Consider the following 26,201-nt stretch of genomic DNA (forward strand, 5'->3'; position numbering starts at 1 on the left):
GGGACCTGGTTGTGGATGGTAGAAAGTGGGGAGCAGCTGAGCAAGGTGGCTCATGCGTGTAATCCCAGCACAACAAGGCCGAGATGGGAAGATTGCTTGAACCCAGGAGGTCGAGACCAGCCTGGGAAACCTGGTGAAACCCCATCTTTACAGAAAGAAAAAAATTAACTGGGTGTGGTGGTGCACACTTGTAGTTCCAGCTACTCGGGAGGCTGAGGTAGATCACTTGAGCCCAGGAGGTCGAGGCTGCAGTGAGCCATGATTGTGCCACTGCACTCCAACCTGGGCAAGAGAGCAAAATCCTATCTCAAAAAAAAAAAAAAGGTGGGAGTGGCCGGGTGCAGTGGTTCATGCCTGTAATCCCAGCACTTTGGGAGGCCGAGGCAGGTGGATCATCTAAAGTCAGGTGTTCAAGACTAGCCTGGCCAACACGGCGAAACCCTGTCTCTACTAAAAATACAAAAATTAGCTGGGCATGGTGGCAGACACCTGTAATCCCAGCTACTGGGGAGGCTGAGGCAGGAGAATATCTTGAACCCAGGAGGGGGAGGTTGCAGTGAGCCGAGATCGCACCACTGTACTCCAGCCTGAGTAACAGAGCGAGACTCCATCTCAGGAAAAAAAAAAAAAGGTGGGAATGCTGATCTAGTTTACATTCTCCACTTTAACTCAAACACCATTTTACAGGCAGAGACACTGAGGCCCTAGTTTGAAGCTCAAAGGTCACAGTCTAGTTTTTGTTAAGACCAGGGGTCAGGGGTTGTCATTGTCCTGTAGTAGAAAAGAACTAATGTTTATTGGGGACATACTATGTGTCAGGTGGCTTATAAACATTCTCCTTAATTATCACAGTAGCTCTGATATATTATGTCATTTTACAGATTTGAAAAATAAGGCTCAAGATCTAAAGGCTCACTTTTCCTTCATGGTAACTTTACTAACTGTCTTTCCTCTGCCTAGAACAGTGGTTCTCAAGTGTGAGTGTTGTCCTCCAGGGTCATTTGGCAATGTCTGGAGACATTTTTGGTTGTCACAACCAGGGGTGGGGGGTGCGTGTTGTGGCTAGAGCCTAGGGATGCTGTTAAACGTCCTCCAGTAACACAGGATGGCCTCTCACAACCAGGAACTACCCAGCTCCAAATGGCAGCACTGCTGAGCTTGTGAAACTCTGATCTAAAGTAATGCACGCCCTTCCCTCTGGGTCACACCAGGAAGCCTCTCCTGACTCCCCACCCAGGAGAGGTCGCTCCTCCCTGTAGCCCCTGCAGCCACCAGCCGTGCTGTTAACAGGGCTGGTTGTCCTGCCTCTAACCAGAGCTCTTTGGGCAGATGGTATTGAAGGTATATTCAGTAAATGCTTACTGGCTTAAAACACAGTTAGGGCTGGGCGCGGTGGCTCACGCCTGTAACCCCAGCACTTTGGGAGGCCGAGGCAGGCGGCTCACCTAAGGTTAGGAGTTTGAGACCAGCCTCGCCAGCATGGTGAAACCGTGTCTCTACTAAAAATACAAAAATCAGCTGGGCATAGTGGTAGGTGCCTGTAATCCCAGCTACTCGGGAGGCTGAGGCAGGAGAATAGCCTGAACCTGAGAGGTGGAGGTTGCAGTGAGCTGAGATCGCACCATTGCACTCCAGCCTAAGCAACTAGAGTGAAATTCCATCTCAAAAAACAAAAAAACAAACAAACAAACCAAAAAACACAGTTAGTGTCTTTCGTCTATTGACCTCTTGCTTCAGTTAGGCTGGTGGCTTTTCCAGGACTGGGATGTTTGTGAAAGACCCCACAGCCTCTGTGTCCTTGCCAGAGAGGTGGCAGGCTTTCTGTCACTTCAGTTGTGCAAATTGAGGCCACAGGGCCACTTACCAATGTAGATGTAGTACAGTGCAGAGGTTAAAAGCACAGGATTTTACGTCAGAAAGATCTTGATTTAGGTCCTAGCCCTACAACTTACTGTGTGACCTTGGACATGGTACTTGACCTCTCGGAGTCTCAGTTTCCTCAGTTATGAACTGCAGATAATAATAGTATCTACCTCTTTGGGTCATTGTGAGGATTAAATTGGACAGTCTAATCACAGTGCTTAGCACAGTGCTGGCAATTTCAGCATTCTGAAAATGCTGGCCATTACTATTATTAGGAGATGCCATGGGGTTTCCACTCAACGGTATCAGGTTCCTTCTAATTCTGAAATTCCCAAAACATGCTAGGCTCTATCACACCCCTGTGCTGTTTGACCTCTTTGAACAAGCTGTACTTTGGCTTAGAATGCTGTTCTCCCCACGCGTGTCTTCCAAATACACTCCTCTTCATCCTTCAAGTCTTAGTTCAGGTGCCACCTCTTCTGTGAAGACTCCCTTGATTGCCCTCTTCTGTGCTTCCACCATGAGCCTCCACCCGCCCTGGAATCCTACTGCCATTAGAGCATTGATTCTGTATTTTTTTTTTTTGTATTAAGTTTCTCCCCATCCAGTCTGAGGGCTCTCCCCAGGAATAAGGACTGGCCAACATGGAGAAACCCTGTCTGTACTAAAAATACAAAAATTAGCCGGGTGTGGTTGGCACGTGCCTGTAATCCCAGCTACCCCGGCGGGGCTGAGGTGGGAGAATCGCTTGAACCTGGGAGGCGGAGGTTGCAATGAGCCGAGATGGCACCACTGCACTCCAGCCTGGGCTATAGATGGAAACTCCATCTCAAAACAACAAGAACAACAAATAAACAAACAAACAAACAGAGACAGAGTCTCACTCTGTTGCCCAGGCTGGAGTGCAGTGGTGTGATCTCCACTCCCTGCAACCTCCACCTCTTGAGTTCAAGCGATTCTTATGCCTCAGCCTCCCAGTAGCTGGGATTATAGGCGCCCGCCACCATGCCCGGCTAATTATTTTTATATTTTTAGTAGAGATGGGGTTTCACCACTTTGGCCAGGCTGGTCTCAAACTCCTGGCCTCAAGTGATCTGCCTATCTTGGCTTCTCAAAGTGCTGAGATTACAGGCATGAGCCACCGTGCCCAACTTTTAAAAATTTTTATTTTATTATTATTATTTTTGAAACAGTGTCTCTGTCACCCAGGCTGGAGTGCAATGGCATGATCTCAGCTCACTGCAACCTCCATCTCCCAGGTTCAAGCGATTCTCCTGCCTTAGCCTCCCAAGTAGCTGGGATTACAGGTGCCCACCACCATGCCTGGCTAATTTTTTTTTTTTTTTTTTTTTTGTATTTTACTAGAGACGGGGTTTCACCATGTTGGCCAGGATGTTCTCGATCTCCTGACCTTGTGATCTGCCTGTTTCAGCCTGCCAAAGTGCTGGGATTACAGGCATGTGCCACTGCGTCCGGCCTAATGTTTGTATTTTTAGTAGAGATGGGGTTCCACCATGTTGGTCAGGCTGGTCTTGAACTCCTGACCTCAAGTGATCCGCCCACCTCAGCCTCCCCAAGTGCTGGGATTACAGGCATGAGCCACCACTCCCATCCCTTTTTTAATTTTTAAAATTCATTTTTTAGAGATGGGGTCCTACTCTGTCACCTAGGCTGGGAGGCAGTGGTACAATCACATAGCTCACTGCAGCCTTGAACTCCTAGACTCAAGTGATCCTCCCACCTCAGCCTCCTGAATTGCTGGGATTACAGGTGTGCTTTTACCACACCCAGCTTCCTAAGTCTTAACTGCAATCTCATGAAAGATTCTGGCCAGCACCACTCAGCTAAGCTGCTCCTGAATTTCTGACCCACAAAAACTGTGGGAAGTAATGTTTGTTGGTTTTAGCCACTGTTTTGGGGTGATTTGCTATGCGAGCAATAAAAAATTAAGAGTCCCCCAAGTTTTAGGGTAGTGGTTCATGGCTCTGGCTAGGCATCAGAATTCCCCATGAATGTTAAGAAAAAAATGCAAAGGAATTTGCCGTGAAACAATATGTGTTCAGTGGTTAGAGACTGAGCTCAGGAGTCAGAGAGGCTGGACTTGAATGCGGATGCTGCCACTTACTAGCTGTGTAGACTTGGGTAAGTGACTTTATCTATGCCAGCTTTCGTTTCTCCATCTATAAGCTGGTGGTAATAGAACTTACTTTCTTAGGATTGTTAGGAAGACTAACAAGAGCATTTATGTTGATTCTGTCCAGTAGGTAAGCTGTAAGAAAGAAATCTAGGGCCTTGTCTGTCCTGTTCACTGCTGTAGCCCAGTATCTAGGACAGTTCCTGGAACATAGTAGGTATTCATTAAGCATTTCTTTTTCTTTTTCTTTTTCTTTTTCTTTCTTTTCTTTTTTTTTTTTTTTTTTTTTTTTTTGAGACAGAGTCTCACTCTCTTGCCCAGGCTGGAGTGCAGTGGCACGATCTTGGCTCACTGCAACCTCTGCCTGCCAGGTTCAAGTGATTCTCCTGCCTCAGCCTCCTGAATAGCTGGACCACAGGCATGTGCAACCACAGCTGGTTAATTTTTAAATTTTTTGTAGACACAGTATCTTGCTATGTTGTCTAGACTGGCCTTGAACTTCTGGGCTCAAGCAATCCTCCCATTTTGGCCTCCAGAGTGCTGGGATTACAGGTGTGAGCCACTTCCCCAGGCCCCTTGTTTATTTATGGTGTGCATCCTCCCAGGAGACATCCTCACCAAGAGCAGGGATTACTGTCTGTTTAGTTCACTGCTTATTCACAATTTCTGGCACATAGCAGGTGCTTAATAAACATTTGAAGGATGAATTCAGATGCGTGGGCTCCAGGTTCCAATGAATTATAACCTGTTACGCAGGTAGAGCCCAGGAATCTGTATTTTATTTAAAAAATTTATACGTATATATGTTTATAAACTTTATTTTAGGAGACAGGATCTCACTATGTTGCCCAGGCTAGACTCAAACTCCTGGTCTCAAGGGATCCTCTTGTCTCAGCCTCCCAAGTAGCTAGGACTACAGGTGCACCCCACTGAGCCTAGTGGAATCTATATTTTATTTTATTATTATAAATTATTTTTGAGACAGAGTCTTGCTCTGTTGCCCAGGCTGGAGGGCAGTGGTGCGATCTCAGCTCACTGCAACCTCCGCCTCCTGGGTCCAAGCAATTATCATGCTTCAGCCTCCCCCATAGCTGGGATTACATGTGTGGGCCACCACGCTTGGCTAATGTTTGTATTTTTAGTAGAGACGGGGTTTTGCCACATTGGCCAGGCTGGTCTTGAACTCCTGGCCTTTAGTGATCCGCCGACCTCAGCCTCCCAAAGTGTTGGTATTACAGGCATGAGACACTGTGCCTAGCTGTATCTGTATTTTAGAAAGGCATCCCAAGTATAGTGAAGGTTGAGAAGCTCTATCCCAGAATGTCAGCAGTAAAGCAGCCAATGAGTATCATGCAAGCAAAGTCCAGCCCTCTCATTTCACAGATGACATCACCAAGAGCAGAGTGAGAGTAGTTCCCCAAGGTCACAGGTTGTTGACAGAGAAAGAACTAGTGCCAACAGTAGTGTCGGATACCCAACACAAGGCTCCCTGGAGCTCCAGCTGGCCTGGGCCTGCTCAGTCTCATTCCAGGGCTGACTGAGGGGAACTGCTGAGTCACTGGAACTGAGGCCCAAGGCAGGGTGTGGCCTCCATCGCCTGGTTAGGGGTGGGGCAGAGTGGGACTGCCCCCACCTCCTCTGGGTGACTGAGGCTGAGGCCGGAAGAGGGACAGGCAGAGAGCTCAGACTGCCTCCCCATTCGTGGGACCCCCTCCCTTCACGTGAAACCACCTTTGCAAAGATTGTAACTGAGGAAATTATGACAGTGAAAGGGATCTGACCTAACCGACACCATCTTGCTTTTAACCTCTAAGCTGCCCTTGTTCATTCTTGGGTGTAGGCCAAAGTAACCTTGGGAAGGAATTCAGTTTATACTTTAACTTTGAAACAAAAATTATAATAGCCCTTTCCCGAAATAAACCCCCTTCTTTTTTTTTTCTGAGACTGAGTCTTGCTCTGCTGCCCAGGCTGGAGTGCACTGGTGCGATCTCAGCTCACTGCAAGCTCTGCCTCCCGGGTTCACGCCATTCTCCTGCCTCAGCCTCCCCAGTAGCTGGGACTACAGGTGCCTGCCACCACGTCCGGCTAAATTTTGTATTTTTTTAGTAGAGATGGGGTTTCACCGTGTTAGCCAGGATGGTCTCGATCTCCTGACCTCGTGATCCACCCACCTTGGCCTCCCAAAGTGCTGGGATTACAGGCGTGAGCCACTGCACCCGGCTGAAATAAACCCCCTTCTTGCCTGGGGACCGGTCTGCCTTCATAGGACTAAGAAATTATTGGCCGGGCACGGTGGCTCACGCCTGTAATCCCAGCACTTTGGGAGGCCGAGGCAGGCAGATCACGAGGTCAGGAGATCAAGACCATCCTGGCTAACACGGTGAAACCCCATCTCTACTAAAAATACAAAAAATTAGCTGGGCACGGTGGCAGGCGCCTGTAGTCCCAGCTACTCGGGAGGCTGAGGCAGGAGAATGGCGTGAACCCGGAAGTTGGAGCTTGCAGTAAGCTGAGATCACGCCACTGCACTCCAGCCTGGGTGACAGAGCAAGACTCCGTCTCAGAAAAAAAGAAAAAAAGAAATTACATGATTAGAAATTATGGTTTATTGGGAGGCCAAGGCGGGCAGATCACCTAAGGTCAGGAGTTCAAGACCAGCCTGGCCAACATGGTGAAACCCCATCTCTACTAAAAATACAAAAATTAGCTGGGTGTATGATGGTGGGCGCCTGTAATCCTAGCTACTCAGGAGGCTGAGGCAGGAGAATCGCTTGAACCTGGGAGGCGGAAGTTGCAGTGAGCCGAGATCCTGTTACTGCACTCCAGCCTGGGTGACAGAGCAAAACTCAGTCTCAAAAAAAAAAAAAAATTACGGTTTAAGAACCATGCAGGCTCTGGCTGCAAGAGCCTGAACCTCCTCAAATTGCTCCTGGGAATAACATCACTGTTGTCAAACCTAAGATCAGTGCTTGAGATATTTTGCAGACCTTGCTGTTCCCAGCTGACGCCATCCAGACCCATAATCTGGCTCAACCAGTTCTTTGATCTCACCCTGAAACAGTAGACAGCATGAAAAACTCACTTCATAGGGGCCGGGTGCGGTGGCTTACGACTATAATCCCAGCACTTTGGGAGGCCGAGGCAGGCGGATCATAACGTGAAACCCCATCTCTACAAAAATTACAAAAAAATTAGGTGGGCACATGACTGTAATCCCAGATACTAGGGAGGCTGAGGCAGGAGAATTTTGCTTGACCCCGGAAGGCGGAGGTTGCAGTGAGCCGAGATCGTGCCACTGCACTCCTGCCTGGGCAACAGAGTGAGACTCTGTCTCAAAAAAAAGAAAGAAAAACTCACCTCAACCTCATGGTTCCTGTTGGTTTTATCTCCAACCTGACCAATTAGCAGTCCCCACTTCCTGAGCCCCTACCCACTAAATTATCCTTAAAAACTCCCATCTCTGAATTTTCAGAGAGACTTATTTGAGTAACAAAACTCCGTTCTCCTGTACAGCCAGCTCTGCATGAATTACTCTTTCTCTATTGCAATTTTCCTGTCTTGATAAATCGGCACTGTCTAGGCAGTGGGTAAGAAGAATTCACTGGGCGGTTACACCAGGACCCCAGTCTTTGACCAAACTAATCTAGTGGTGAAGTTAAACCAATGCTCAATTTCAGGAATTGGGTTATAGCCTTTGAAATGGCTAATCCATTTTTAAAAATTTTCAGATTGTCAGTAATAAATAAAATTAAGCTTAAATGTAATTCAGCTTTGAGAAAATATTCTTATTTTATTTTTATATTGTGAGACAGAGTCTTGCTCTGTTGCCCCGGCTGGAGTGCACTGGCGTGATCTCGGCTCACTGCAACCTCCACCTCCCGGATTCTAGTGAGTCTCCTGCCTTAGCCTCCCAAGGAGCTGGGACAACAGATGCGTGCCACCACACCTGGCTAATTTTTGTATTTTCAGTAGAGATTGGGTTTCACCATGTTGGCCAGGCTGGCCTCAAATTCCTGACCTCAGGTGATCTGCCTGCCTTGGCCTCCCAAAGTGCTGGGAGAGGAATGAGCCATTGCACCGGCCAGCTTTGAGTAAATATTCTTTTCTTTTTTTGAGATGGAGTCTCATTCTGTCACCCAGGCTGGAGTGCAGTGGCATGATCTTGGCTTACTGCAAACTCCGCCTCCCGGGTTCAAGTGATTCTTCTGCCTCAGCCTCCTGGGTAACTGGGACTACAGGTGCCTGCCACCACACCCGGCTAATTTTTGTATTTTTAGTAGAGATGGGGTTTCACCATATTGCCCAGGCTGGTCTCAAAATCCTGACCTTGTGATTCACCTGCATAAGCCTCCCAAAGTGCTGGGATTACAGGCGTGAGCTGCCGCACCTGGCTTGAGAAAATACTCTTAAAGCCAGCTCTTGATATGAGGGAGCTGGCAGGCATAATTTGACAGCGTCTTGAAGACAGTGACATAGGTGGGTTTCAAAGCTGTTTGAATGCCTCTTCACCAGGGCCTAAGATTTCCCAAACCTGGATCACCTGGGGCACTGGTGAAAAGCACAGATTCCCATCACTGCCTAGGGGATGTTGGATTCAGTGTGTCTCAGAGTAATTGGGGCTCAGGAATCTGGATTTTAAGGGATTCTTAAATTCTGCAAGACTGGGCCAGGCATGGTGGCTCATGCCTGTAATCCCAGCACTTTGGGAAGCCTAGGTGGGTGGATCGCCTGAAGTCAGGAGTTCAAGACCAGCCTGGCCAACATGGCGAAACCTCATCTCTACTAAAAATACAAAAATTAGCTGGGCGTGGTGGCGCATACCTGTAATCCCAACTACTCGGGAGGCTGAGGGAAGAGAATTGCTTGAACCCAGGAGGTGGAGGTTGTAGTGAGCTGAGATCACGCCATTGTACTCCAGCCTGGGTGTGACAGGGCGAGACTCCATCTCCAAAAAAGAAAAAAAATATTCTGTAAGATTGAAAACGACTGCCCTGGCCCTTTGGAATAATGAATCTTCTTAGAAAGGAATGAGGCCTTGGTGTCAGGACCTACTTCATCCCTAATCTGTTTAGAAGTTGCAAGACTCACATTCCAATGCACTGAAGAAAACATTATGTCCCTAAGTCCCAGTAGACTGTTGTGCTTGTCAAATGCACCATGGGTCAATTCACATTTCATTGCTTCAAAGAATGCCATGGGCACCTTTATGACTCGGCAGTTATTGGAAGATGGTCAGCCCTACCTGGATTATTTTAATATGCAGAAGTTGTTGGAAGATGGCCTCAGGATGGCAGGAGCTGGGGGAACATCCACTGGACTGCCTGGGAGGACTAGCTCAACTGGTTCCAGAGTGGGGAATTTAATATTTGGATCCAGGTCTGCCTGACTCCTGCAGTTCATGCTGATTATTACTGTACTAGCTCTCCCAAGTTAATACACAGAGTGCTCATCATCACACACATGAGACACATGCCTACATGCAGAAGTGAGACACGCTAGGCCTCTTGCAGACAGAACATTGCTTCCTGCTTTCCTCCTCTAGCCTAACCTTCCAGCCCTGCCCACTCTCTCTAAAGTATGGCTCTAATTGATTAGCTTGTGATGGAAATCCTTCAATGGTTCCCCATCGCTATCACTCAGGCTGATGCATTGATTCAACAATCAGGACTGCTGTAACCTAGATACAACTCTCTTTTTTTTGAGATTGGGTCTTTACCAACTGCAGTGGCTCATGCCTGTAATCTCAGCACATTGGGAGGCTGAGATGGGCGGATCACTTGAGGCCAGGAGTTCAGAACTAGCCTGGCCAACATGGCGAAACCCTGTCTCTACTAAAAATACAAAAATTAGCTGGGTGTGGTGGCACATGCCAGTAGTCCCAGCTACATGGGAGGCTGAGGCACGAGAATTGCTTGAATCCGGGAGGCAGAGGTTGCAATGAGTCAAGATCAAGCTACTGCACTCCAGCCTGGGGTGACAGAGTGAGACTCTGTCTCAAAAAATAAATAAATAAATAAATAAATAAATAAATAAGAAAGAGAGAGAGATGGGAGAGTTGGGGTCTTGCTCTGTCACCCAGGCTGGAGTGCAGTGGTATGATAAGAGCTCACTGCAGGCTTAAACTCCTGGGCTCAAGCTATCCTCCTGAGCACACACCTGTGGTCCCAGCTACTCAGGAGGCTGAAGAGGGAAGATCGCTTGAGCCTAGAAGGGCAAGGCTGCAGTGAGCCATGATTATGCTACTGCACTCCAGCCTGGGTGATAGAGCAAGACCCTGTCTCTCATCTCAAAAAAAAAAGAAAAAAGAAAAAGAGGTGCATTGGACTCTCCCTCTCCCTCTCCGTCTCCCTCTCCGTCTGCCTCTCCCCTTTCCACGGTCTCCCCTCTCCCTCTCTTTCCACGGTCTCCCTCTCATGCCCAGCTGAAGCTGGACTGTACTGCCGCCATCTCGGCTCACTGCAGCCTCCCTGCCTGATTCGCCTGCCTCAGCCTGCCGAGTGCCTGCGATTGCAGATGCGCGCCGCCACGCCTGACTGGTTTTCGTATTTTTTTGGTGGAGACGGGGTTTCGCTGTGTTGGCCGGGCTGGTCTCCAGCTCCTAACCGCGAGTGATCCGCCAGCCTCGGCCTCCCGAGGTGCCGGGATTGCAGACAGAGTCTCGTTCACTCAGTGCTCAATGGTGCCCAGGCTGGAGTGCAGTGGCGTGATCTCGGCTCGCTGCAGCCTCCATCTCCCAGCCGCCTGCCTTGGCCTCCCAAAGTGCCGAGATTGCAGCCTCTGCCCGGCCGCCACCCTGTCTGGGAAGTGAGGAGCGTCTCTGCCTGGCCGCCCATCGTCTGGGATGTGAGGAGCCCCTCTGCCTGGCTGCCCAGTCTGGAAAGTGAAGAGGTCTCTGCCCGGCCGCCATCCCATCTAGGAAGTGAGGAGCGTCTCTGCCCGGCCGCCCATCGTCTGAGATGTGGGGAGCGCCTCAGCCCCGCTGCCCCGTCTGGGATGTGAGAAGCGCCTCTGCCCGGCCGCGACCCCATCTGGGAGGCGAGGAGCGTCTCTGCCCGGCCGCCCCGTCTGAGAAGAGAGGAGACCCTCCGCCTGGCAACCGCCCCGTCTGAGAAGTGAGGAGCCCCTCCGCCCGGCTAACACCCCGTCTGGGAAGTGAGGAGCGTCTCCGCCCGGCAGCCACCCCGTCCGGGAGGGAGGTGGGGGTGTCAGCCCCCCTCCCGGCCAGCCGCCCCGTCCGGGAGGGAGGTGGGGGGGTCAGCCCCCTGCCCGGCCAGCCGCCCCATCTGGGAGGGAGGTGGGGGGGTCAGCCCACCGCCCGGCCAGCCGCCCTGTCCGGGAGGTGAGGGGCGCCTCTGCCCGGCCGCCCCTACTGGGAAGTGAGGAGCCCCTCTGCCCGGCCAGCCGCCCCGTCCGGGAGAGAGGTGGGGGTGTCAGCCCCCCGCCCGGCCAGCCACCCCGTCCGGGAGGGAGGTGGGGGGGTCAGCCCCCCGCCCGGCCAGCCGCCCCGTCCGGGAGGTGAGGGGCGCCTCTGCCCGGCCGCCCCTACTGGGAAGTGAGGAGCCCCTCTGCCCGGCCAGCCGCCCCGTCCGGGAAGGAGGTGGGGGGGTCAGCCCCCCGCCTGGCCAGCCACCCCGTCCGGGAGGTGAGGGGCACCTCTGCCTGGCCGCCCCTACTGGGAAGTGAGGAGCCCCTCTGCCCGGCGGCCACCCCGTCTGGGAGGTGTGCCCAGCAGCTCATTGAGAACGGGCCATGATGGCAATGGCGGTTTTGTGGAATAGAAAAGGGGGAAAGGTGGGGAAAAGATTGAGAAATCGGATGGTTGCTGTGTCTGTGTGGAAAGAAGTAGACATGGGAGACTTTTCATTTTGTTCTGTACTAAGAAAAATTCTTCTGCCTTGGGATCCTGTTGATCTATGACCTTACCCCCAACCCTGTGCTCTCTGAAACATGTGCTGTGTCCACTCAGGGTTAAATGGATTAAGAGCGGTGCAAGATGTGCTTTGTTTAACAGATGCTTGAAGGCAGCATGCTCGTTAAGAGTCATCACCACTCCCTAATCTCAAGTACCCAGGGACACAAACACTCTGCCTAGGAAAACCAGAGACCTTTGTTCACTTGTTTATCTGCTGACCTTCCCTCTACTATTGTCCTATGACCCTGCCAAATCCCCCTCTGCGAGAAACACCCAAGAATGATCAATTTAAAAAAAAAAAAAAGAAAAAGAAAAATAGAAATAGGAAACGAATATAAACAAATATATTATCTACTGAAGCCTTCTCCAACCAATTCGTCTCCAACTATTCTTACCCGGCCACTATGTATTTTCCTACCTCCACCATTTTGCTCATGCTGTTGCCTCTGCTGGGGCACTCAGATCTCTCTCCTGAACTCCTATTAATGATTGCCTTTCACTCTACTCTGTGCCCTCAGCATTGACTGCCCGCTATCAGCAGAAGATCAGAAGCTCCTTGGAGGTTCTGTGTCTGTGGCTTATTTTCCTCTGGACCCCATGGTCAGGAGTGGTCCACAGGGGTTTGCATAACTGACCTGGGGCATCATTATTTAAGGACCTCTGATTCTTACCTGCCAGCTGCATTAAGACCTGTCACCATGGAAGAAAAAGAGGATGCTCCACAGGAATTATTGGGGGAGGAGTTCCAAGATTAAGTGAAAGAGGCCAGGTGTGGTGGCTTACTCCTGTAATCCCAGCATTTTAGGAGGCCAAGGCAGGTGGATCACTTGAAGTCAGAAGTTCGAGACCAGCCTGGCCAACATGGCGAAACCCGATCTCCACTAAAAATACAGCACTCCAGCCTGGGCAACAGAACGAGACACCATCTCAAAAATAAATAAATAAGTAAATAAATAAAATAAAAATACAAACATTAGCCAGGTGTGATGGCAGGCACCTGTAATCCCAGCTACTCGGTAGGCAGAGGCAGGAGAATTGCTTGAACCCAGGAGGCGGAGGTTACAGTGAGCTGAGATTGCGCCACTGCACTTCAGCCTGGGAGACAGAGTGAGACTCTATCTCAAGGGGGGGGAAAAAAAGCAGGGGGTCAAAGAGTAAGTAGAATATGTTGCCATTTGTGTGAAAAACAAAAAAATGTGTAATTTTGTTTGTTTGTTTTTGAGACAGTCTTACTCTGTTTCCCAGGCTGTAGTGCAGTGGCACAATCTCAGCTCTCACTGCAACCTCAACTTCTTGGGCTCAAGCAATCCTCCTGACTCAGCCTCCTGAGCAGCTGGGACTAAAGGCATGTGCCACTCGATGCTCAGCTAATTTTTACATTTTTCTTTTTTTTAAAGAAATGAGGTCTCCCTATGTTGCCCAAGGTGAGTCTGGAACTCCGGGGCTCAAGCAGTCCTCCTGCTTCTGCCTCCAAAAGTGCTGGGATTACAAGCATGAGCCATCATGCCTGACCAAAAATTGTATAATTTAAAAAAGGCCTATCCTTAGAAAGATATGAAAAAAAGGTATGAGTATATAATCCCACTGGGACCTTCTGACTTCTGTACCTTATATACATATTACCCGTTCACCCACATACCTGCCGACACACAAATTAAAACATTCTAAATACTGATTCTTGCGCTGTATCCCCAGAAAAGTATCCAGGATATCAAAGGTTGGATGCAGGAATCCGTGTCTAAAGCACTGTGTGTCACTTCATTCCACACCCGGAACTGAATTCTCAGGAAGAGCCAAGATGCAAAGGATATTTGAAAGCATAAACTTAAAATGCATTTTATCAGGAAAATAAGTAGGAAGATCTCTAAGGGATTATGAAGCCACATTTGGGAACCCACTGATTTTGTTTGACCTCTGCTTTTTTTTTTTTTTTTTTTTGGATGAGTATAGAGAGGGAGAGTGAGTTGCCTAAAGCTACACACCCAGTCAGAGTTACAGGCCAGTGCCCCAGGATTTGTTTCTTTTTTATTGTTTTGAGATGGAGTCTTGCTCTATCACCCAGGCTGGGGTAGAGTGGCGCCATCTGAGCTCACTCCACCTCTGCATCCCAAGTTCAAGTGATTCTCCTTCCTCAGCCTCCCGGCCCTGCCTAATTTTTGTATTTTTAGTAGAGACAGGGTTTCATCATGTTGGCCAGGCTGGTCTCAAACTCCTGACCTCGCGTGATCTGCCCACCTCAGCCTTCAAAAGTGTTGGGATTACAGGCATGAGCCACCGTGCCTGGCCACCCCAGGAATATTTGATAACATCAACATCAAATCATTCCTGCCTGCCCTCATGCAGGGACTTCTCACTTAGAAAGTTCTATAGACCCAATGGGCAGGACAGGAAGATAGAGAAGAAAACACCATCTTTAATCAACCCGCCTGCACAGAAACCAGGAGAGCACTCCCCTCCTTGCAAGGTCCCAGTGAAAAGAGAACCTGGTCCCCTTGCAAAAACCATCTTATAAAAACAAAAGGCTTCAAAGCACCAGTGGCTACACCCGTTGAGTAGAAAGGGGCTTGGGGGAGAGTTGGGGTGAGAGAGGTGAGGGCTGGAGGCAGGGCTGGCCCAGTGAAGGGCAGTAGCTTAGCCTGAGGGAGCTGCCCCCCTCTCAAGCTGTACCCACCAGCTGGGAGCTCCATGCCTGTGGGGGCCAGAGGAACTCCTGGGCCTGGCTGCTTGCATTTGGGATGGTGGGGTGGGGTTGCCAGCCTTGCTCAGGATATTTTGGCCTTAGAGAGTAGGGAATGATAGATTGGAGGGTAGTGGGAGAGGAGCGGAATGGTCACCACAGACAGGCTCAGGTGTGCAAACCATCTGCACCATCTGGGTGCCCCCCAGTTCCTCCATGTCTCCTGCCCTCCTTTCTAACCCAGGGCCATGCCTCTTTCACAGATGAAATGCTGAGACCTGATCCTCTCTCTATGGACGCACCAGGCAGTGCGTGGGATGCAGCGTCCTCAGGAGTGTCTGTGGAGGGAGGTGGGGAAAGTGTTCTCACCTCTACTTGCCCCCAAGGAAGGGTGAGGGTGCTGGCAATCCCGACTCCCCGACTACTCACACCCCCATCTGCCCCTTCAGAACTCCTTCTGGGCTTGTTAGAGGAGGCTTCTGGCCATTGGATTGGTTGTAAATGCTGGTGATCTGTAAACACTGGAGTCTGGGCAGCGCTGACCAGCATTGCTCCTCTCTGAAACCACAAGCCTTCCAACTGGTGAGGTGGATGGAGCCGTCAGGGGTGAGTGGAGTTGTGGAGGTGATGGGGATACAGTAGAACCAGCCTCAGGGACCTGGAAGGGGGTGGAGTGACTGAGTTGGGGCCCCACTTTCCTGGAGGAGAGAGCTTGAAAGATTTGCCAAGGGTGGACAGAGGCTGAGTGTAGGAAGGCTTCTCTGTGGGTGGGGCTGAATTTGGGGCTTCATCCATCCAGTTCCCAATAAGAGAACGAATGGGTATATTGCTTTAAGAGAGGCATTGGCAAGTGGTGGTGGTGGTGTGTGAATATGGTGGAGACCACATAGGTCCAAGATGGAGGGGGGCTTGGAAATGGAACTCAGAGAGCAGACACTGGGTTTTACAGTCAGAAACTGCAGAAAGTACACTGTGTTCAAGGCCCACTTCCACCAAAAATCTAGCTGTGTGGCCTCAAGCAAATCACATCTCTGGGCCTCAGTTTTAATGTACTGCAAAATGAGAATTTTAATCCCAGTCTAGCTCAGGGAATTGAGTTAAATGAGAAGTCTAAAAGAGTCCATTTGCTAAGGGATTAATTACTTGAGGTGCGGAAACCGAGGCTCAGAGAGGGCAAGGGCTTTGCTAGACGTCACAGTCAGTGATGGACCTGCGATTAGAACCCAGGAATCCTGCTCCTAGTTCACAGTAGCTTTCCCCAGAGCTGGTGAGTGAGTGTGGTGGGATGGGATGGGTCTGATGTCCTGCTGTTTTTGGACAGGGGGGCAGGATGCTGGGTGAAGAGTGAAAGGGAGAGGCTGGAGAAGAGAGGAAGGCCCCAGCTCACGCCAAGGCTGAGATTAAAAACAAACAAACAAAAAACAAAAAACCCGTGGTGCCCCTCCCCCGCCCCGCCCCACTCCTCCGAAGTCCGGGCTGCGAAGAGCCAAGCTCAAATCCAAGTCCAAGTCCAAGTCCACGTCCAAGTCCGCATCTCCAGATGCAGACGCGGGGTTGGGCACAGGCTGCAGTGAGCGCGCGGGCCACCAGGGGGACACGCCTGCGCCTTGGCCCGAGCTCGCGGCAGCTGCGGTCAGCCCAGGGCGAGGCGCCGGGGTGGGCGCGGGGCAGAGGCTACCCCGACCTGCGGGAAACAAAGGCAGGTTAGGGAGAGTGGATCCCAAAAGTATGGGGGCGGAGAGACCCGGTTGCCCTGCCCACTCCTCCATCCCCTCCTTTTCGCAACCCCGACGCCCAGGCCTCCCCAAGCCAGCAGGGGGCCGTGACCCACGTGTACAGAGGCTGCAGCTGTAAATGCGACGTCTTCTGGGGCGCCTGGTATCCGTAGGAGTCAAAGCCGCCGATGAAGTCAACTGCGGAAGAGGGGCGGCGCATGTTAGGGATCGGCGGCGGGGGCGAGGAGAGGGAGACTGGGTCCTGAAGGGGAAGAATCTGAGGGCAGGACTCCCACCCTAGGAAGCGGAGCCAGAGAAGCCATGAGGAGGGGAGGGGCGAGGGTCAGACCCCGTGCAGGGCCTGGGGCGGGGCTTCGGCTGGACCCTGAGGGATGGGCCTCTGGGGGTCTGGAGGCGGCGAGGCCGGGCCAGCTGAGGGTCAGGCCCCAGTCCTTAAGGCTTGGGCCTGGGAGGCCGGGCAGTCCTATGGGAGAGAAGGCTCTCAGGGGCGGGGCTAGAGCCTCTAAACGGGACAAGACCTCTGATGGGGTGGGGCGAGATTGGGGAAAGGGGGTGCTGGGGCCAGGGACTGGGCACCTGGACGTCTGGACCCCAGCCTGGAACGGGCTGGTATGCAGAGCCTTCCATACCAGCCGCCTCTTCCCCTCGAAAGGGGCCCGTGGCCGACCCTGGGCTCCCTCCCGCCGGGGCCAGTCACAGGCCTCTGTCCAGGGTGCTGAAGGCGCAGGGCCAGATTCCCCACTTCCCCAGGGGCGCCTTACTCACAGCTGTCCTCCTCCTCCAGGAACACTTTGCTCACGTAGCAGGCGAACACGAAGCCGAACAGCTGGGAGTGGAGATGACACGTCAGGGAGGAAGGAGGAGTGGGAACCTCTTCCTCCGCCCCCTGCCGGGCCCTGTACGCTCTGACTGGCAAGGGAGGAGGCATGCCAGGATGAAGGCAAACCGTAACAACTTCCAATTAAATGTTTTCACCTTAAAGTCAAACATACATGGTCTAACTCTTCTGAAAGTGTAACTTGAGACAAGTAATCATTTTACCTCTTTGAGCCTCAGTTTTCCCACTTGGACTTGGGCAATACCTTATGGCTTGTTAAGAAGAAAGAGGATTATGTGACTTTGTGGGTACAAAGTGCCTAGGACAGGGCTGGCCCTTCTAGAAACAGGAACTACTCCTATCTTGGAGTTTCTTTCTTTCTTTTTTTTTTCTTCCCTTCCCTTCCCTTCCTTTCCTTCTTTCTTTCAGACAGGGTCTCACTCTGTCACCCAGGCTGTAGTGCAGTGCTGCAATCATGGCTCACTTCAGCTTCAACCTCCTGGGCTCAAGTGATCCTCCTGCCTCAACCTCTCAAGTAGCTGGGTCCACAGGCATGAGGCATCACGCCCACTGGGGTCACTTTCTTATTCTCACAACTCTGAGGCTGGTATTGTCATTCTTTTTTGTGAATAAGGAAACAAGCTCCGAGAAGGCAGGTGACTTGTCCAAAGTCACATAGTGGGTGTATTGAGCACTTAAACCCAGGATTGATTCATAGTCTGATGCCTCATCCTACTCACTAAACCTGTTCACTCTGCACAGGGGCTGGGGCAGCGGTGAGGGAAGACGGTACAGGATATGGAAACAGATCCAGACAAAAGGACAGACAGGCGGAAGACCTAGGTTCATTCCCTCTTTTTTTTTTTTTTTTTTTTTTTTTTTTTTTTATGGAGTTTCGCTCTTGTTGCCCAGGCTAGAGTACAATGGTGCAATCTTGGCTCACCGCAACCTCCACCTCCTGGGTTCAAGCAATTCTCCTCCCTCAGCCTCCTGAGTAGCTGGGATTACAGGCATGTGCCACTATGCCTGGCTAATTTTGTATTTTTAGTAGAGACGGGGTTTCTCCATGTTGGTCAGTCTGGTCTTGAACTCCTGACCTCAGGTGATCCACCAGCCATGGCCTCCCAAAGTGCTGGGATTGCAGGCGTGAGCCACTGCGCCCAACCCATCCCCTCAACCAGAGCTAAAGAAAGGGATCGGGAAGTGTGTGTAGGGTGGGGGACAGAAGGACTTACTGCCAGGAAGATCTGCAGGGCGCTGCTGAGGGCTTCAATGTAGGGGTAGTCAAGCAGGCAGCCAGTGACAGAGATGACATGGTGGTCCTCCAGAGCCAGGCGGGAGTTCAGAACAGGTGTCACCAGGCAGCCTGGCCCATTCTCCATCCACCAGGAGCGGTGCAGGGATGTGTTGAAGGTCATGATGAAGTCCCGGTCCTGGGGGCAAAGGGGCCTGGGATACTGAGTGTGAGGGAGAGGGAGGGGGGAGCTACTCCCCCAGCCCAGGAAGACTATATTGATCGGTGAAGGGATTCAGGGAGCCTGCACCTGCAAGTCCATATTTGACCAACAGGTGGCACTTAATGACCACACAGGCCTCACTCTTTTGTCACTGAGATGGGAAGGGGTTTGTGTGGACTCACAGGGGCCTCAGAATTTTCAGAGCTGGAAGGAACATTAACAATTTCCCAGCCACAGGTGAAATCCTCAGTACCAGCCCCTTAACAGCCCATTCAGTATCTCCACTGCTCCCCCTGTGTGCGACCCTGGGCGAACCTCTCCTTTGGGGCCTTGGTCTCCACATTTGTTAAATGGAGAAGGGGCTGGCCTAGATCAGAAGTTCTTACCCAGGGTGTGTACCCATGTGCCCATCCATGCAGTCACTCATTCAACAGATAAATACTCACTGCCTGCCGACCAGGGGCCAAGCACTCAGATGTGTGACCTTATTTTATCCCCTCAGCAACCACATGAAGTTGCAGTTGCTCTTATGTCCACTTACTAGATGAGGAAACTGGGGCTCAGAGAGGATCAGCCACTTGCCCAGGGTAATACAGCTAGAAGGTTTTAGAGCTGGGATTTGAATCTAGCAGGGTCAAACTACAAAGCCAATGCTCTTAAATTCACATATTTTGCCTCTTTTATATCTAAAAATAGAAGTTGTGTCTCTCTGGGCTTGCTCTTATTCAAGCGAAACAGTCCTACTTTCTTGGTCTGCTCAATCTTCCCTGAACAAACTCTAACTAGTCTCTTTCCCTTCTGAAAAATATTGATCAGAATTAACCCAAATCTTTGTGGTCTAAGCACTACAAAGCGCATGGCATTTTCACCTCCCTTGCTCTGAATACTCTACCTCTATTAGCGGGGCCTAAGAGTAGCTTTCTGGGCTCCCACATACTGTTGGTTTTTACTGAGCTTGTGATCAACTGGGACCCCTGGCTCATCTTCACATGGACTGCTCTTCAGCCTTATCTGCTCCATCATTGTGTTTGAGGAAGCCAGAAATAAATTGTGTAAGTAGGAAATGGGGCACACAGATTATTTGGGCATGTAAGGAGAGAGAGACTTCTTCGAGACATGATGCTCTGGTCCTATACCACAGTACCCTTAGGGCAGGGGATGGGAATGGTCAGGCTCTGCCCTATGGCACTGCCAGGTCTGAGGCTTACCTGGGACAGCTGTCCAACCTCCAAGTAGAAGCAGATGATAAATGCATTCCAGCCAACCCAGAGCACCAGCCAGGCTGCATACTGGGGAAAGCAGAGGTGGGATCAGGGTGGGGCCTGGGGAGTGGGGGATGGGGAGTGTCAATGGAGACAGAGCTCAGGGATGAGGAGATCTGGGCAGGGGAAATTATGAGAATACCTCACTCAGAGAGCACAGTGTAGCTTACAAATCATTTACACACCCATCAGGCCTTACAACAGCCCTGCAAGGTCAGCACTGCCCTCTTTTAGAGAGAACTAACTTAAAACTGAAAGGAAGTTTAAGGTTTCTAAGATCACACAGCTAGGAGGAGGTAGGGCTGCCACTCAAATCAAGTTCTCTGATAGCTAATCCCATCCACTGTGCTAACAACATCCTCTAGACCAGCTGTCTCTAGAATACTGGAATCATTCAAGGATGTTTGTCAAAAATGCAGATTCTTGGGTCCTACCTCTAGACCTACTGATTCTGAATTTCTAGGGATGTTTAAAAGGGATTGCTTAAGCAATCCCTAGGAGATTGTGACTCAGATGACACTTTCAGAAACATGTTCCAGGTGGTAAGCCACTAGAGGGCGAGGACTCTGACTGCCTGGCTCACCACTGCAATGCCAATGCCTAGCACAGAATAGCTGGATGAACCCATTAAGACTATAGGAAATGGGCCAGGTGCAGTGGCTCATACCTGTAGTCCTAGCACTTTGGGAGGCTGAGGTGGGCAGATCATTTGAGCTCAGGAGTTCAAGACCAGCCTGGGCAATATGGAGAAAACCCATATTTAAAAAAAAAAAAAAAAGAGGCCAGGCGCAGTGGCTCACGCTTGTAATCCCAGCACTTTGGGAGGCCAAGGTGGGCAGATCACCTGAGGTCGGGAGTTTGAGACCAGCCTGACCAACATGGAGAAACCCTGTCTCTATTAAAAATACAAAATTAGCCAGGCATGATGGCACATGCCTGTAATCCCAGCTACTCGGAAGGCTGAGGAAGGAGAATCACTTGAACCTGGGAGGTGGAGGTTGTGGTAAGCTGAGATCATGCCACTGGACTCCAGCCTGGGCAACAAGAGCGAAACTCCGTCTCAAAAAAAAAAAAAAAGTCTTAATTCTTTTGTGTTTTTTTTTTTTTTTTTTTTTTTAAGACAAGATTTTGGTCTGTCACCCAGGCTGGAGGGCAGTGGATGCTGGGAACTTTAGACCAAAAGAGACAGGAGGTTATCCTGCAGCCTTGTGCCTGAGTATGTGTGTGACATCTTCTCACATGGCTGTGGCTGGAGTCTGGGTATAAGGGAACCAGGGCAGGTGGAGGCAGGATCATGGATGGGGCCTGGAGAAAGGCTGGGGTGAGCAGACCAAACTGAGACCCCAAGCATAGAACGGGAGTCCAGCCTGGGCCCTGGATGCCCTCACTCCATCACTTTCCTCCCTCCCTTCCTTGCTCTATAAATTGTACTTGAATGACACAGGTCAATGTGCCCCGCTCCAGCAATCTTTCCATCTGTCTGGAAGGAGAGGGCTGGGATGGGAGGGACTGGGAGCAGCAATGCTGGAGCAGCAATGCTAGGTCAGCACTGAGGCCCCTGGGCCCCTCAGTTTTCCCACATCCCGAATGTGGCCACCTCTGGGGAGAACAGCATTCCACCCACGGTAGTGAGCTGGAGAGGAGGTTAGGGTCGATTTGAGACCTGGATGCTTCTACCCAAGTCCTGTGCCTGCAATTCTAGTGGCTGTCACCTGGCAGATAGTGTTGTTGACAGTGGTGTCTGGGGCTTTCCTGAGAACTGGAGAGAAGTGTTCTCTTATGTCAGATGAGAGAGAGCCTTGTTAGGGTCCTGTTCACCTGGCTTCTGGGAACTGAGCCTGTGGAGGTGGGGAGAGAAGTCCTAGAATGAGTGTGTGTGGGCTCTGGAGGCAGCATGACATTGCATGTCATTGTGATTGTAGGTGTCAAGCATGTATGTAGTAAATCTAGTGAAAAGCCTTTTCCCTCAAGAGAGCCATGTGAAGAGGTCACTGAGGAACAGCAGGGAATATGGGTGAATCTAGCTGAAAGCAGGAGTTTGACAGAGACTATCAGGGACCAGGACTTGGGAAGAGGCTGTCGGGGAGGAGGAGAGAGACCCAGACTCCTGGGGCTGGAGTGCAGGGAGGCACTGACCTCAAAGCCACACTAGCTGCTCCAGAACACATCCTTGATGTACATCGGGCAAGAGAGACAAATGCCAAGCCTTCCTGAAGCTTCTTGAGAAACTAAATAAGATGAAGCCCATCCCTCCTGTGTCCTTGCGCCCACCCCTTCCTGAGGCCGTGTGGTGCCGCAGCAGGAGCCTTCACTGTTGATCTGATGTTCTAATCCTGCCTTGCTTTCATTAGCTGTGTGACCTTAGGAAGACTCGCAACCTTTCTGAGCTTCAGTTTCCTCATCTGGAAAATGGAGCTGTTAAGATCTACCTCACAGGGCTATTGTAGACATGAGATGAAGCATGTGAAATTTCGCAGCGTGCCTGGCACGTGCCAGGCACTCACTACATGATCCATTTTGTTTATATTTGGATTATTTCCCTAAAAAATTCTTCAGGAAAAAAAAAACCCTTGTCTCCTCTGAGCAAAGAAGCATGGGGCTGTGCACATTCACCCCATCTTGTTTTGGGTGGAGCCAAGACCAGTGCCCCAGTGTTGGGGGGCAGTTCTGGTTTTGAGGAGCAGGGAGGGGTGGAGTGGGCAGGGGTGAGGAGAGGAGTTGGCTTGGGAAGGGGCTAGGTGAGCCGTACCAGGATGAGGTACCGGGAGCGGTACTGCACGGTGCCAAAGATGCCCAGGATGACTGCCATGATGTGCAGGAAGTTGGCTAGGATGGGAGCCCACTGGTAGCCCAGGAAGTCAAAGATCTGCCGCTCCAGCGCAGCCACCTGTGGAAGAGACAGGCTGAGGCCACTGTCACCCCCCTGAAAGGGAAGGACAGGGATTCCTGCTTGACCTTGGGGAGCAGGTGGCACCAGTTACCATGGTGATGAGGCATAAGCCTCAGAACAATCCAGTCCTTCACTACCAAAGGGATGCTGGGGGGTCCTTAAGCCTGATCATCACTTTGGGGTGGGCTGAAAGGTGATAGGAGTGAGGGTTCAGAACACCTTCCTCCCTGCCAAGGAGGCCCTTCCCTCTAGCGGCTCAAGCTCCTGCACCTTCTCCATGTGGAGAAGATGGTGGGATCAGAATCCAGACTGCCACCCCTAGCCTTGGAGGGCAAGGAAGTCCTGGAGCCCGAGTCACCTCTTCCAAGGATCCCCATCTGGAGCTTGCCCTGGCCCATGGCATTCCTGGGCTACAGAGAAGGAATGCTTTTCACTCCCCTTCCCTGAAGGAGCTGGAATAGATTGCAAAATTGGCCTCGAATCCTCCTCTTCCTATTTCCATGCTCTTCAGTAGTGCCCTTCCACACTAATGCTGTGCTTGCCCATGCGACTTGCTTTGCCTAAAGGGACTTTGGCAAACACAATGCAAACCATGTTTGAAAAAGGCTTGAAAAATGCATGCATCCAGTCTGGGCAACCTGGTGAAACCCCGTCTCAACAAAAAATACAAACCATTGCCAGGTGTGGTGGTGCGCACCTGTAGTCCCAGCTATTCGGGAGGCTTAGGTGAGAGAATCTCTTGAGCCCAGCAGGCGGAGGTTGCAGTGAGCCAAGATCATGCCACTGCACTCCAGCCTGGGCGACAGAGTGAGACCCCGTCTCAAAAAAAAGAAAAGAAAAAAAAAAAACGGCGTTCATTGGAGCTTGCCAACTTGCTTCACTTATAACAAGACCACCTTGTGAACAAGCCCCAGCTGACCTGCTGGAGGATGAGAAGCCACGGGGAGGAGAGCGAAGGCACCCCGGCTAATAGCCCATCAGCCATCAACCATGTGAGCGAGGCCATGCTAGATCACCCCGGGTCACTAGCTGACCACAGACACATAGCCCAGACCAGAAGAATCTCCCAGCTGACCCACAGAATCATGAACTAAATAAAATGGTCGTTTATTTTTTATTTCTAAATATTTATTATCATTATTTTTAAACAGAGTCCCGCTCTGTCGCCCAGGCTGTAGTGCAGTGGAACTATCTCAGCTCACTGCAACATCCACCTGCCAGGTTCAAGCAATTCTCCTGCCTCAGCCTCCCGAGTAGCTGGGACTACAGGCACCTGCCACCATACGCAGCTAATTTTTGTATTTTTAGTACAGGCAGAGTTTCACCATGTTGGCCAGGCTGGTCTTGAACTCCTGACCTCAAATGATCCACCCACCTCAGCCTCCCAAAGTGCTGGGATTATAGGCGTGAGCCACTGCGCCCAGCCAAATTTTGCTTTAAAGAACCACCTCCTACCACTCTGTCCACATGGCTTGAGTGGGGCTGACTCATTTCTAGTTTCTGGGGTGGGCAGGTAAGCCAAGTCTAGCCAAATAATCAAAGACAATGATGAATTTAGGGATAGGCGCTCACCCCATGCTCTGCCCCTGAGAATCACCCTAGATATTTGCTGGAACAATCAGAACAGAGCTGCTATCCTGCCAGGATACCTGAATGGGTGTGGTGTGAGCTTGGAGCTGTTGGTGGCTGCCTTGGCCACCTCAGGTGGATGGCCCGCCTGAGGAGAAAGCCATAGCTAAGGTACAGAGAGAGTGTGTGTGGGAGGAAGACTGAACACACAAGGGAATGTCCTGAGCCATCTTTCAGGCCTCTGAATACAGCCATGCCTAAAGCTGGTTCTCCCTCCTTGTCCTGCTGATTTTTGTCATTTGCAACAAAGAGTCCTAACTACAACAGAAGAGGAGAGAAGAGGGTCTGGCTGGGGAGGGGGAGGGAATATTCAGATAAAGTGAGAAGATATAAGAAGCCTTTTTCCAGGCAGGGAGGCAGGAGGAGGTGGAGCTGATGCTACCACACAGATGGCAAGGCTTGGGCAGAGACCAAGGAAGCTGCAGGCTTGGGTAAGGTGGTGAGGGAAGCCTGGTGGTGCCAGGCCCAACCTTGGCATTTACCCACTTGGCACCAGCCTGCCTCTTGTCGGTGACTCCCCTCCCAGGGATGTGCAGATTGTAAAGCTCATCTCTCACTGGATGCTCCTTGGCAGAAAGGCAGAGCTGGAATCATTATTTCATTTTGAGGAAAGAGAACATGAGGCTCAGAGAGGGGAAGTGACTTGTCCAAGGTCACACAGCAGGTTGGTGGCAGAATAGGCCTTTCTCAGCCACCTGTCCCATCTTGGCACCACCTTTTCCCATCTTGGCACTGGTAAGGGAGTCAAGAGGTGTAAATTGTGGTGGGAAGTCTGCCTCTGACTCCTGGGTGACTTTGGGCAGCCCACTTTCCCCGCTGGGTTTGGGGCTCCTCTTCCATGCATGGAAGTCACTGGACTAGGTAATCTCCAAGGGCCCTTCCAGCCTTGACTTCCATCAGCTGCTGGCCTTGGGGGAGAAACTCCCCAGGCTTGTCCAGGGGCCTCTGCCACGGTCTCTGTCTGCTGCTCCTATCCCACACTTCCTCCACTCCACTCTTCCTCCTTCCACCCTGACTCTGCCTGGCCTTGGGAGCCTTGGTGTTCTGGGGTCCAGCTTGATGTTCTTGACTCAGCTGTTACCTGGCCCTAAGGGAGAAGGTCTCCATCAGAGGACGGAGGAGGCTGTGACAGAGCAATCCAGGCTCATGGTGCAGCTGAGGAGGCACCCTGCCAAATATTTCCACCTAAGGCTGGGCGCAGTGGCTCACGCCTGTAATCCCAGCACTTTGGGAGGCCAAGGTCGGCGGACCACTTGAGGTCAGGAGCTCAAGACCAGCCTGGCCAACATGGTGAAACTCCATCTCTACTGAAAATACGAAAGTTAGCTGGGTGTGGTGGCACATGCCTGTATTCCCAGCAGATTGGGAGGCTGAGGGAGGAGAATTGCTTGAGCCTGGGAGGCAGAGGCTGCAGTGAGCCAAGATCGCGCCACTGTACTCCAGCCTAGGTGACAGAGCAAGACTCTGTCTCAAAAAAAAAAAAAAAATCCACCTAAGAGGTGATATCATCTCCAGCCAAAGTGGTACCCACTCAAACCCCCTCTGTTCTCTGTGACCTTATTGATAGAAAACAGAGAGAGGTTTTTTTTTTTTTTTTTTTTTAAAGCAGTAGCAGATTTGTAGTCATTTAAACTCAGATTCAAATTCCAGCTCTGCTGTGTGACTTAGGGCAAGTCACTTTCCCTCTCTGAATCTATTTCTTCAACTATAAATAGAGAAGATAATCCCTCTCTTGAGAAGTTGTTGTGGGGATATAGAGATATCACATAAACTAACAGACAATTAGACTTGATACATAGTGGCTAATTAATAGAAGGCTTAACA

At 51.0% G+C, this 26,201-nt stretch overlaps 1 protein-coding gene across 1 annotated transcript in view, besides 4 other annotated features; it reads right to left on the bottom strand.

Annotated features, from left to right (window-relative positions):
- Positions 1,436 to 1,935: an enhancer, noted in NCBI's record as "H3K4me1 hESC enhancer chr1:31639725-31640224 (GRCh37/hg19 assembly coordinates)". NCBI's record gives its function as "activates a minimal SCP1, AML or CMV promoter by ChIP-STARR-seq in naive H9 embryonic stem cells {active_cell/tissue: H9 hESC(naive)}" and the evidence as "EXISTENCE:reporter gene assay evidence [ECO:0000049][PMID:30033119]".
- Positions 5,465 to 5,714: an enhancer, noted in NCBI's record as "active region_640". NCBI's record gives its function as "activates an Ori minimal core promoter by ATAC-STARR-seq in GM12878 lymphoblastoid cells {active_cell/tissue: GM12878}" and the evidence as "EXISTENCE:reporter gene assay evidence [ECO:0000049][PMID:35858748]".
- Positions 14,303 to 26,201, bottom strand: part of NKAIN1 (sodium/potassium transporting ATPase interacting 1) — a 60,143-nt gene continuing 48,244 nt past the window's right edge. The window contains exons 2-7 of the mRNA NM_024522.3: positions 22,608 to 22,745; positions 19,805 to 19,885; positions 18,375 to 18,572; positions 17,088 to 17,148; positions 16,418 to 16,499; positions 14,303 to 16,270 (exon numbers count right to left, since the gene is read on the bottom strand). Of these exons, the coding sequence (NP_078798.2) occupies positions 16,261 to 16,270; positions 16,418 to 16,499; positions 17,088 to 17,148; positions 18,375 to 18,572; positions 19,805 to 19,885; positions 22,608 to 22,745 (570 nt within the window). The 3' untranslated portion in view covers positions 14,303 to 16,260. The remainder of the gene's footprint in view (positions 16,271 to 16,417; positions 16,500 to 17,087; positions 17,149 to 18,374; positions 18,573 to 19,804; positions 19,886 to 22,607; positions 22,746 to 26,201) is intronic.
- Positions 16,172 to 16,421: a silencer, noted in NCBI's record as "silent region_566". NCBI's record gives its function as "represses an Ori minimal core promoter by ATAC-STARR-seq in GM12878 lymphoblastoid cells {active_cell/tissue: GM12878}" and the evidence as "EXISTENCE:reporter gene assay evidence [ECO:0000049][PMID:35858748]".
- Positions 18,540 to 18,834: an enhancer, noted in NCBI's record as "tiled region #5533; HepG2 Activating non-DNase unmatched - State 13:Ctcf". NCBI's record gives its function as "activates a minimal TATA promoter and a strong SV40 promoter by Sharpr-MPRA in HepG2 cells {active_cell/tissue: HepG2}" and the evidence as "EXISTENCE:reporter gene assay evidence [ECO:0000049][PMID:27701403]".

Source organism: Homo sapiens, chromosome 1 (genome assembly GCF_000001405.40).
Source record: "Homo sapiens chromosome 1, GRCh38.p14 Primary Assembly".
Lineage (NCBI taxonomy): Eukaryota > Metazoa > Chordata > Mammalia > Primates > Hominidae > Homo > Homo sapiens.